This window comes from Homo sapiens, chromosome 2 (genome assembly GCF_000001405.40).
Source record: "Homo sapiens chromosome 2, GRCh38.p14 Primary Assembly".
NCBI lineage: Eukaryota > Metazoa > Chordata > Mammalia > Primates > Hominidae > Homo > Homo sapiens.
Window position 1 is genome coordinate 205,097,684 of NC_000002.12, and position 13,541 is coordinate 205,111,224.

The following is a 13,541-nucleotide window of genomic DNA, read 5'->3' on the forward strand; positions in this document are numbered from 1 at the left end:
CTTCTGATCCACGTTAAAGTTTGAGAACCACTGTTAGGCATAGAAATGAATAAAACACAGTTCTTCTTAAGCAGCTTTTAATTTAGCACTTTTATATCTCTAATTGTCATGCCAATTTCTGGCTATGTAGGTGTAAAATCTAGTGGCGTGTGTGTGTGTGTGTGTGTGTGTGTGTAGTAAATTATAGGCATATTAATTGCTAAGACTGAAACATTTAGGGATGGTATCTTTGAAGTCAACTGAGAGATTTCCAATGGCAAGGCATTTCCAAAGGCATAAAAAATATATATGAAGTTTGAAAATAACAGTGTTTAACAATCAAATTGCATGTTAATTTCATGTGTGCTTATCAAATACAGTTTGTTTTACTTTAGCACAGATATTTTTGTTCTGAAAAGTAAAAACAAATATTCTGGAATTATGCCCAGAATTTTAATTTTAAAATTTACATTATGATTATGTATGAGCACCAGGCACATAACCTGATGTTCAGATCCTCTCTGTATAATGTTTCTATTACTCTCATTCTAACATTCATGTGTATTTTCAAAAGAAACTTGCAGTTGACTTTTCAGAATGCAAATCTTGTTTTTAAATGCACCTGAGTTTTTAAAACATAATTCAGCTGCAGTTAAATTTTATGGGCAAGTGGTTTCCAATGTAGCTAAAATTCATTGAGGGGGAAAAATCATGGCCATATATGATCACCTGTAAATCAGAGGGAGATACTTATTGATAGACAGGACCGCTATTTCAGTTCTCATCTGAGAGATGAAAAACCGAGCAATAAAACTACTTTTAATTTCATTTTGTAGCGACACTAGACCAGGGAAATTCCATGAGAACTTGGGAATGCGATGAGCATTCTCTTCCAAAAAAAAGTATCAATAGTGTTAAGTTTCTTTGGACATGTATAACCTAGTGATGCTTCATAATGAATACACGTTCTTGTATGAAATCAGTGACTGGTACTAACTGTGAAATATGAAATGATAGCCTGGTACTGATACCTTAATCACCCCTGGAGAGACCGTTGCCCCTCTTGGTGCCTGGCCCCTTTCATCCAGCCTGTGAGCACTTGCAGTTGTTAGCGCTAGTGCTAACCAAATGTAAACACCTTTACTTTCCAGCTGTTGCTAATTGGTTTGGGACTAATTATAGAAGTGTTGATTTTAAAGCTAAAAATAGTGCGGTGATGTTTAAATCCAACTCATTTTGGCTGTCAGAAATGCTCCCTTGATCCTGAAAGTGTTGCTAAAAACGTTCGCTTTAAAAAAAATTGTAGTAATTAAACTTGTCTGTTGTGAGAGCTACATATGATCTGTCTGTTCCCTGCTCTGATGAAAGTGGTAAAGGGCAAACATCTTAAAGGTGTCTGACCAGTTGGCAGGACACAATCTCCTGCTGAACTTTATTTTAGACAGCAAAGCCTTGTCATTTGACCAAAAGAGGAGATAAAATTTTGAAATAGCTCTATACCTTGTATTTCATACAGCTCATTATATCCTTCTATGTTAACATTAAAAATAGAAGCTGTAAGAATTATATTAATAAAATTAATTATAGAGCGTCCAAAACCATTATGTTTTCTAGAGGCAAGTTTGAGGATTTGAAATCACATAATTAATATTGTTCAAACATAAAGCTGAAGAAATATGGTAGCTGTTTGGCATCAGTTGTTTATACCTCTGATTCTTCATAATCAGGGTTATTTTTCTACCTTTCCTTCCAAATTTAAAAGTCATCTTACAGATTTTTCTCAAAGTCATTTAAATAAGCAATGAGGAAAACTATATTTTCATTTTTAGACATGTGCAATTTCATGACTCTTCATTTTACCATGTAATTTAGTGAAGGAAAAGCTTAAGTATTCTTAACTTATCATTTGTCAGTTATTTTGTAATTTTTGGAAAAAATGATTTTATGTACCCTGTTAAGAGGTAAACTGCCTTGTCGATAAGTATCAAAGCACTGCACAGCTACAGTGTTGCTGAAGTCAATTTGAAATTGGCTTTATGTCCTTATAGGATGCCCTAAGCATCTGTCTGCCTGCCCCATCTTCAGAGAATATCAAAGAATTTTGTTAGTGCAATATATGGAAATGATCTTGGCAAGTGATAAACACTGCTCATTAGTTGAGATGATAAACTATAGTTACTACCCTTTTTTGATAGCTTCGGCAAGGGAAAGTGTTTTTGATATTATCTTAATAATAATAGGAGATATAAGTCTGTGAATGTGTATTCTTTTTAAAGTCTGTAGTCATTGACATGATTTCTCCAAATGTGTAGTCAGTTCAGAATTACCCTTGAGCAGATTATGACATTGTATTTGGCCCAATATTACTTTCAAATTGTAATTGATATTTCCATATACTCAGAGAATTAAGTAACTTGTTGATATGAATAGAATCTTTACTTGCTATCTAACTGGAACTAGATGAAAAATTCATTTTTTAATCTTGCGTAATGTTGATTTGAGCCAGAAAGTATGTTATTTTTCTACCTTGTTAGGGATCAACAACAAAGTTCCATTTAGAGTATGGTGCAGAGGCAACAATAATGATATAAAACTTTATAGCAAATATCAGTTTTTTTCTTTGACACTCTGAGGATACATCCCATACAGAATTATAAAACTAAAAAGAATATTTATTTTAATTAACTGTCACTGTTAACTGTTCATGGATTGAGAGACTTTATGATGGTTAGATTGTGATACTCTCCAAATTGATCTATGTATTCAATGCAATCCCTAGCAAAAACCCAACTGTTTTTTTTTTGCAGATATTAACAAACTGATTCCAAAATTAATATGGAAATGCAAGAGACCCAGCATAGCCAAAGCAATCTTGAAAAATAAGAACGAATTTGGAAGAATCACACATCCTGATTTCAAAATTTAGTACAAAGCTACAATAATTGACTGTGTCGTACTGACATAAGAATAGACAGGTATAGATCAATGAATAAAATACAATTGAGGATCCGGAAATATACCCTTACATTTTTGGAAAATTCATTTTCTTTAAGGGTGTCGAGACAATTCAATGAATAAAAAAACAATCTTTTCAATGAATGATACTAGCACAACTAGATATCCACATGCAAAGAATGAATTTGAACTCCTTCCTCACACAGTGTGCAGGAATGAACTCAAAATGATAATAGGCCTAAATGTAAGAGCTAACACCGTATAAGATTCTTATAATAAAACAAAGGTGTACATCTTTGTGACCTTATATTAGGCAATGTTTCTTAGATACAAAACCAAAAACACAAGCTACAAAAGAAAAAATAAATACATTGGACTTCGTTAACATAAAAAACTTTTGTGCTTTAAAGGACACATGAAGAAAGTGAAGACAACCCAAAGAACAGGAAAACATATTTGTAAATCATATATTGGATAAGAAATTTGTATATGGAATATTTAAAGAACTCTCTACAGGTCAATAATAAAAAGACAAATAGACATTTCTCCAAAGAAGATACACAAAGGGCCAATAATCACAGGGAAAGAAGCTCAACATCATTGGTCATTACAGAAATGTAAATCAAAACTACAATGACATATCACTTTATACCCATTAGGATGAATACAATAAATTAAAATTAAAAATGAAAATAAGCTGTGGCAAGTCTATGGAGATTTTATACCCATTAGGATGAATAAAATAAATTAAAATTAAAAATGAAAATAAGTTGTGGCAAGTCTATGGAGATATTAAAACCCTCATGTATTGCTGGTAAGAATGGCAAATTATTCAGACATGTGGGAAATAGTGCAGCAGTTCCTCAAAATGTTAAACATATAGTTACCATATGAGCAACAATTCCACTCCACAGCGTACGCCAGAGAACAGAAAGCATATGTTCACACAAGAACTTGTACCCAAATGTTCATGGCAACATTATTCATAATAGGCAAGAGTGGAAACAACCCAAATGCTCACCAGCTGATGAATGGATAAACTTAGTGTGGTATATCCATAAAGTGGAATATTGTTGGGCCATAAAATGGAGTAAAATACTGATATATGCTACAACATGGATGAGCTTTTGAAAACATTATTCTAAGTGAAAGAAGCCACAAGTCTTATGATTCTGTTTATATGAAATGTCTACAATAGGCAACTCCTTTGAGACAGAAATTAGATTAATGATTGACAGGGCCTGTTGGGGAAGGGGAGGATGAGGAATGACTGCTAATGGAGTTTGAGGTTTCTTTTTGGGGTGATAAAAATGTTCTGACATTAGTTGATGATGGTTACAAAACTCTGAATATACTGAAAACCACTTAATTGTACTCTTTAAAATGGTGACTCTTATGTAAATTACATATCGATAAAGCTGTTGTAAGAAATAAAAATGATCTTAAGGCAATCCTTTAGATGACTGTAGCTGCAGCCCCGCAGACATGGGGCTGCAAACTTACAAGCGATCCAACCCTAGAACCGCCTAGCTAAGCTACTTCTAAATCTCTGGCTCAGAGAAACTGTGAGAGAGAATAAATGTTTATTTTTTTAATTTATTAAGTTGTGGGATAATTTATTATACAACATTAGAAAATTAATACAATGAGCTCTTGGTGTTATGTGCTTGATATATAGAGAAGCAGACACAAATTCATTCCTGTGTAAGAGAAACAGATAAGAAAGTTAATGATTTTGGCAAAAATGAGGCCATCAAATATCCTGACATACATGATAATCACAGGTTCCAATATTATGTTAAATTATCCACCTAAGTATTTTTGTAACCCGCCCAACCCTGTCTCCACTTATCTGTAAGCATATATCAAGCCCTTCATAATAATATGAATGTTTGAGAGCTTTCAAAAACAATCGTCTTTTAAAATTTGGTACCTTAAACCATGAAGTGTTCTTTAGCCTTATGGAAATTCTTTCTTATCTACATGAAAAGGAGAAAATTAATTTTTTAAAAGTCTAGAGTAGACCAAGTGTTTCACAAAACTACCAACCCCTGCATGAAATGTTGCTACTCAATCTAAAAGTGAGAGACATTTTTTTTAACTCATTTCACTACAACAAAGTGCTTCTGTTGCAGTTATGTCTTACTTTCTTTAAAATAATAACTTGGCTGGGCGCGGTGGCTCAAGCCTGTAATCCCAGCACTTGGGAGGCCAAGACGACCAGATCATGAGGTCAGGAGATTGAGACCATCCTGGCTAACACGGTGAAGCCCCATCTCTACTAAAAATACAAAAGCAAAATTAGCCGGGTGTGGTGGTGGGCACCTGTAATCCCAGCCACTCGGGAGGCTGAGCCAGGAGAATGGCATGAATCAGGGAGGCGGAGGTTGCAGTGAGCCGAGATCATGCCACTGCACTCCAGCCTGGGCGACAGAGCTCAAAAAAAATAAAAATAAAAATATATATTTTTTTATTTTTTTATTTTTATATTTATATTTTATATTTATGTAAAATAAACATATTTTATATTTATGTAAAATAAACATATTTTATATTTATGTAAAGTAAACATTTTATATTTATGTAAACATTTTATATTTATGTAAAATAAACATATTTTATATTTATGTAAAAAACATTTTATATTTATGTAAAATAAACATATTTTATATTTATGTAAAATAAACATATTTTATATTTATGTAAAATAAACATATTTTTATTTATGTAAAATAAATATATTTTTTATTTATGTAAAATAAATATTTATATAAATTATATAAATAAAATATTTATAGATATATTTATCTGTCTCAAAAATAAAAATTAAAAAAAGATAACCTAATTTACTTATGTCCAGCCTCTTAAGCTCGTATGTTGTCTTTCTTACTCTGTTGGAATAATGCATTCAGATGCATAAATGCTGTTTATAAGTGTGGGTTTTTGATAATGGGTCTTTCTATATCTGGTTTGTTGCTTTGATGAAACCGGAGTCCACGTGTAACAATAGTTTATTGTGACTCCACTTATGAAGAGACAGGTATCCACAGGATTCCCTGTTAGGGAACAGCTCTGAGCCCTAATGTCTTCTGTAAGGAAGCAGCAGCATCAGGCGTGCTTTCTAGAATCCATCCTCTCCTCTGCTTCTCTGGGTAACATCCAATACAACTTTTCCACTGTCCTGGAGTACAGGGCCTCTCTGACCCTCTAACCTTTCTGTAGTGGGAGCCTGTTTACAATTTTAGAAATTAAATAGGCAATTTGAATCTCTCTCTGAAGATTATCCTCAGAGTCAAATTTCATGACAAAGTAAGAGTTCTGGATTTCTTCTTCCTGCAGTGTTTCTGCCTGACTTTGACAGAGGTGACTTTGCCAGGCAATGTTTTTTCATGGATTTTGCTTTTCTTTATATTTTAATGTTGTGAGGGGCAAGCAAGTACGTACCTTAAGGCTAATATATCACCATCTGTCACCAGAGTCCCCCCTTTGGTATTCTTTTCCTTTCTGGTTTAAAACACTCAATCCCAAAAGCCTATGGCTGAGTAGCAAGAAGCTAAATGTATTCCAAAGCTCTTAACATATTGCATTGTGTAGATGACCCATTTGAGCATTTCAGAAACCAAACAGGAGAGAAAAGAACATTGAAAGCACAGAAAAGATTAACACCTGCTTCCAGTTTTCAAAGAAATTAGAGCATACTGTATATATCCAGCGTAAAGCGGTTTACTCTCCCATATTGGGATATTTTATTCAGATTTTCAATTCAATATGCACAGCATCACATGCTTATGACTTTGTTTCACTATAGGATTCCACGCAGAACTTGGAAGACAGAGAAGTTTTGAATGGTGTACAGACAGAACTACTAACTTCGCCAAGAACTAAGGACACATTGAGGTATTCTCTTTATACAGATAAGAATATCTGATTTATTTCAATTTGATGTGTTTTTTAATAGTTTATAATTGTTCTTACTTTACAAGAAAGATCAGGATAAGTAGAATCATGGAGTGCAACATGTCCCAAGTCTAACAGTTACTTAATTCTTCTTTTCTAGTGTTTTCTTCATATGAGAACTTACTGACAAACATATATACAAATGATCCTTAATCCATCCAATACTCTTCTGTACCCAGGATTTCTGAAATACTTTTTTCTCTCCTCAAACAGCAATTTCAAATGAACATTTCAGAGGTCATTGTGGTGGTTTTACTTTGACTTTAGCTCTTTGAAAGCACCAAATCCTAGCCACTAGACCACCGGGGAACCCTAAATTTAGCTCTTTGAGTGCTACTTTGTATTGTGCTTTAACACCCTTGTAATAGTTTACTTGATGAAATAAAATGAACCCTGTCTATCAACCAGGGTTTTTCATGTTCTTAATGAAGGCAACTCATTTGCTGTCAGTGGCTGCCATGTTTCCCAGTACTTTCTTTGCTTTGCATTGATTCCCAGTTCAGCTCTAGGTAGTGCCTGGGTTCATATCGCAGCTATGCCTCTTTACTAGTCCTGTGAGCTTAGACAAGTTACTCATTTCTCTTTCTCTTAGTTTCTAGTCTGTAGAATGGAAATAGTATTAAAATCTTATTCAGAGGGTTAGTATGGGTATTAAATGAGTTAATACATGTAGACCATTTTGCACAGTGTTGTGGTTAGGATAAATCCTGTGAGTGTTTGCTGCTGTTTCTACTACTATCATTAATATCACATCATCTCTATTATTGTTCTAATCATCATTTTGTTTAACGCACTTCAAATTTGGCATAAGGAAAATAATTTCATATTTAATAGATGGTTACTTCAGCATTAGGTAAAGCTACTGAAGTTTATAATTATTCATGCAGTTGACGTATTCCTTTCATTTAGTCCAAACAATTAACATGAAATTAGCTTTTTAAAAACATAGGTCATCATCCTTTGTCATGTGCTTTACTGTATGGATTCTCCTCAAACTTATTTATAGCCACGTGAGCATAGTTACTCTTTATTTAGATCGTTTCTTTGACTGATGAGCTATACAGTATTAAAAATTTGATGGAAACTAGGCTAGGTGGTGCCTGCCTATCATCCCAGCTACTTGAGAGGCTGATACAGAGGATCACTTGAGTGCAGGAGTTCGAGTCCATCTTGCAACATAGGGAGACCCTCTCTCTCTCTGAAGAAAAAAAAAAGGCGGGGGGATATGGGGTAGGGAGTAATAGAAAATCTTCAAGCACCATCTTTTCAGAAACTTAATAAGATTATCTAATTATGTCTACCTCCAGAAACTAATAAGATTGTTTCTGGAGGTAGACATAATGATTGTAATGCTCTTATTCTATTTGGCTTTAATTTCACTTATTTCAGTGTTAGCTTTTTGAAAAGTTTGTTAATATCTTGTCCAAATGCTATGTGAATAGCATCATAGAGTCAACATTAGTTTGGTTTATGGCTGTATGAACAAATTAGCCAAGCTTTCTTCAGCTACAGGGAATTGAGAGAAATGGAGTATAGGAACTTAAAAATATATATATTCTTTTATTTATTTATTTATTTTATTTTTATTTTGAGATGGAGTTTTGCTCTTGTTACCCAGGCTGGAGTGCAATGGCGTGATCTCGGCTCACCGCAACCTCCGCCCCCCAGGTTCAAGTGATTCTCCTGCCTCAGCCTCCCAAGTAGCTGGGATTACAGGCATGTGCCACCCCAAACCCAGCTAATTTTGTATTTATAGCAGAGACAGGGTTTCTCCATGTTGGTCAGGCTGGTCTCGAACTCCTAACCTCAGGTGATCCATCTGCCTCAGCCTCCCAAAGTGCTGGGATTACAGGCATGAGCTACCACGCCCGGCCAAAAACATATATATTCTTTAGTTAAGAAATGTATGTGTGTGTGTGTGTGTGTGTGTGTGTGTGTGTGTGTGTGTGTGTGTGTATATTTGATTATCAAAACGGGCTTTTCACATGAGTTTTCTTATCACCTTTAATAGGTTAAGGAACTACAATTCATAGCAATTAAGTGACAGCTAGAGACTTAATTGACACCCACCACTCTTGTCTACAAAGCCACTATTTCAAACATTCCTGTTGCGTGTACATTCCCTGATGCCTTGGTGTTTTATTTCATGCTACCTGACCAAGGCTAGGAAACTTCTCATATAAAAGTGCAGCTAAAATCAGTTTTATATCAAATTCAAAAAGTAGAGTGAGTGCAATTCCCAGCACTTTAAGACCCTGGAGTGGGAAAAGGATGATAACAATCTTAATGCCATTGAATGCATGGGGGAAAGCTTGGAGGTTACAGTTCTAAGACAGGGCATTGATTCTAGCCAGTATGAGATGAAAAACAGTTGAAGTGAAATTAGGAAGCCAATTCTGTCTGAATTACATGGTCCATATGCTCCTGGGGCAGGGAGAATCTCATATGCCACAGGGCTTGGCCCATGCATAGGACTTTGGGCACGCATCCACGTAGAAGCTAAGTAAATTATTTGTAGTCTATCTCAAAATGTCTTGTAACTGTTTAATTTCTATAATCATTGCTCAAGCCTTTGTTATCCCTCAGCTACACCATTATAATAACCTACTAACTTCTCTGTCAAATGTCAGTTTCCCCTTATTCTAATTGATCCCACATATTACTGTTGGATAAAATGTTTTAAACCACAGAATTTATCAAGCCATTCCTTAGTTCCAGACCTTTTGGATTTAGATAAGTCTTGGGTTTGAGTACTAACTCTGCTACTTACTACCTGTGCAATCTTGGACTAATTACATTACTTCTTTAATATGTATCTTCATAGGAAAATTGGTATCATGGTCACATAGATTATTGTGAAGATTAAATGAGATATAGTACAGACAACCGACTTAGCACAATGCTAAATGAAAGGCTGAAGAAACATTAATTGCTATTGCCATTATCATTGTCATTTTTACACAGATTGTAGTTTATTGTAACTATTTCTCATTCACCCAAGCAAGACTGTGAATCCTCCAAAGGGTTTCTGACACCTAATACAGGTCTTGGAATATAATAGGGACATATTTGCTAAGTGAATGACTGAATGGATAAAACACATTGCTCCATAAATCATAAGCAAAACTGTTAACTGCTCACCCATTATTAACGCAAACATCTTTATTTAAAATAACATTTAAAAGACATTCTCCAAATAGTTTTACAATATGCATCTCTTATGAAGCACCACTCAACTTATTTTGATCTTAAAAAGACAATGAAGCAAGAGGTTTGGTGGTTTTTTAAGAAAATTACACTTTGAATGTCTCTTTAAATAGCAAGCAATATGTACAAAAGACCTTCACCTCATCCCTAATTCCTATCTCATTTCTGACTCTGCCTTATCTCTCCACTCCTGCTTCCACAGATAAGCCTTCTTCCAGACTTGCCTTTTGTTTCATTCTTAAAACGCCAGCGCATTTTAGCCTATCCTCTCCTGTGTCAAGGATATCTATTCATTGATCAAACTGTTTGCAGAGGCCATCTCAAAATATGTGGGACATTTCCCCATGTTTTGATGCTTTATTCCTGTAATCATTGCTCAAGCCTCTGTTACTCTATTAGTTTCAGCTAGATTATTGCAATAATTTAGTAATTCCTGCCTCAAGTACCAGTCTCTCCCTTGTGGTTCCCTTTTCCAATTGGTGTCACATATCACTGCATAAATATTTCTAAACCATAGCGTTTATCACACTTCTCCCTAATTCTAGAACCTGTAGTGACTTCATTTTCTGCAAATTAAGTATAAATTTGCTAGCCAGAAATTTAACACACCACTCTGAGCTTTGATCTCAAGCTAATGGTTTAATCTGTCTCCTGTACACAGCACCTTTCTTTGTTTCCCTTTTCTCCCTTCTTCTTTCTCCTCGTTATTCTCTCTCCCACCTTCCTCCCTCCCTCCCTCTCTCTAATATTACAACCAATTGTTATGCTCACAGACTATCCTCGTTCAATATCTCCATACAGTTGACTTTCTCTCCTGTGCATGCCCACTCCATCCCCTCACCTATCTTTTCTGATGGAAGACCCGTTTGTCCTTCTTCAGGAATAGATTCCTAATCCCAGCTTCCCTTCCTAATCCTGTACCCTCCTCTGAAACACATCACAAGGTGCCTCCACTTTGAAACTGCACCTTGGTTAGGCAGTTAAGAACTCTGCTCTGGGGTGCAATAAATCACTATTTGAGTCTTGACTCTATAGAAATGGTATGATGTCGGACAAGTTATTAAACTCTCTAAGCATAAGTTTACTTCTAAAATGGATGTGATATAAATGTTTACTTTATAGATTTAGTATCAGTACATGATATAATGTCCAGAAGAAGGTTAGTACACTGCCTCCCAAGTAATACCTTGCATTCACCGAGAATCTACTACTGTAACCCATCGCTTTCTGTTCTTTTTTATTACCTGTCACAACCTTCCCCTTAGATTATAAACTCCTCAAGCATTGGTCTTTGTTTTTTCCTTGTGGAACTTCCCCAATGAAACAACTCAATTAATATTTGTTGAATTCAAGTGAAGTAAGTGGATCTCATCACCAACAACAAAGTCTTTGATAGATTTTTACTCAGTACATTTGCATCCTCAAGATATTTCACCATCAAGTAGAGTTCAAGGTTATCCACAGATTCTTCCTGGAGGTTTCGCTCTGTAGTCCGCCTCTCATACTATTGCATGCCACAGATCTATGAATCCACCCTTCCAGAAAATCAGCTAACACTCAGCCATGTGCTGCAGTCCTTTGTCTTCTCTCTGCATGTCAGCAGTCTGATTGCAAATAAAACGTGTTCCTCAATCCTGCAGTATTTAAGGCTTTTTTAAGAAAGTCTTACTGAGGAAATCAATAGAAAAAAATGGATTATTCTCTTTTAGCCTATAAGCTTGTTTCCTTAGACAGTTCTAACAATCATACTAATAGCAGGTAGTTATTGAATGCTTTGTAAATACCAGATGTGGTATGTGTAACATATATGTGTTATGATCTTTATTTTTCTTATTAAAGCCAACAACTCTAATAGGGAAATACCTAATCTTTTTTTTTTTTTTTTTTTTTGAGATGAAGTTTTGCTCTTTCACCCAGGCTGGAGTGAAGTGGTGTGATCTCCGCTCACTGCAACCTCTGCCTCCTGGGTTCAAGTGATTCTTATGCCTCAGCCTCCCGAGTAGCTGGGACTACAAGTGTGTGCCACCACACCCTGCTAATTTTTGTATTTTTAGTAGAGATGGTGTTTCTCCATGGTGGCCAGGCTGGTCTCGAACTTCTGACCTCAAGTGATCTGCCCGCCTTGGCCTCCCAAAGTACAGGGATTACAGACGTGAGCCAACGCGCCTGGCCAGGAATTACCTAATCTTAATGTTCTCCGTGTGCAAATGAGGAAACTGAGGCACCAGGTCTTAATTAAAATAATTTACTCAGACTCCTGACTCAAAAGTTACCACTGGGATACACTTTCTCTGTAATTACACATGTGAATCATGATTTTCTTCTGAAATAAATTACCCCCGGCTCCCCATCCTCAATTTCATCTCTTCCATACCTCAACAAGTGACCTGCCACTGAGTTCAGTAATCTTAGTGTTAAAAATGCTGTCCATTTGCCTTGTGTAAAGAAATGAGACTTACAAACATCTGCAGCTTCTATTGTATATTTTTCCCTCAAGCTTGAAGTCTTTCTTCTGGATGGAAACCAAATGAAGCCTTTCACTTCTAGCTCTAGCAGAGTTGCCATTCATGACAGTCTCATTTTTAGACCACTGATTCTGCAGCTTCGCCTATAGTTTTGTCTAAATCTCAGATTGGTAGCAGCTGGTTTCAGTTTTATCAATTAGATCTTAGAGCATTTTGCTATTTTAATACTAGTTGAACTAATGCTTTGTAACTATCTGCTTGTTTTAGTATGTCTTAGAAAGTTGTATAAAGATAGCTATTTTGATCTTAGTAAAATTTTCCCACTTTTCTTCTATGTATAACCAAAATATTTTTCTTTTATCTCACACAGTTTATTTTCTGTTTTTTGTTTTTTGTTTTTTTTGTAAGTGGCTGTCAACCGCTTTTTCTTTCCATTGCCAGAATATCCTGTCTACCTCATTTTCTGTATTTTCCATTTTAAACCAACCTTCTAGCTTATTTTCTGGCTACTATACTGTCCTCTAAAACATAAACATAAATGTGCACATGTCCTGTTCACTAGTCCCTGAATTCTACTCTAGAGTTTATCTAAACAAATAGCAATAATAGCCTATTTTCATGTCTTTGTAAAATCTCACTTTATGAGATATGTCGTCAAATAATTGTGTCCAGTCCTACTTGCTGTGTTTCTCTTCCATGAAGAGTGCATATATAGAGATCTCTACAGAGCACAACTCCATCACGTATTTCTAGTACTGAGGGTTGTTTTCTCTTTTTAAATAAATAAAAATATGTGAACTGGTCCATGGGGCATTATTTTTCAAATGTTCTCCTTTCTAACTTGAAACAAATAATAGATAACATTTTATAAAGAACATGATGAGACATGGTCTATGTAAAATTTTATTACTTATCTTTATTAAATAGATCTAACTTTCTATAAGTGCTTATATATTACAGTAAACAAAATTGAAAGTC

The 13,541-nt window shown here is 35.1% G+C and overlaps 1 protein-coding gene across 18 annotated transcripts in view; it reads left to right on the forward strand.

Annotated features, from left to right (window-relative positions):
• Positions 1–13,541, forward strand: part of PARD3B (par-3 family cell polarity regulator beta) — a 1,074,688-nt gene that overhangs the window by 552,209 nt on the left and 508,938 nt on the right. For 17 of the 18 annotated variants that reach the window (XM_047443208.1, NM_001302769.2, NM_205863.4 and 14 more), the window contains one exon: positions 6,743–6,831. In XM_047443208.1, the coding sequence (XP_047299164.1) occupies positions 6,743–6,831 (89 nt within the window). Of the gene's footprint in view, positions 1–6,002; positions 6,087–6,742; positions 6,832–13,541 lie in introns of those variants that run through there. The other variant, XM_017003293.2, reaches the window with a different exon arrangement.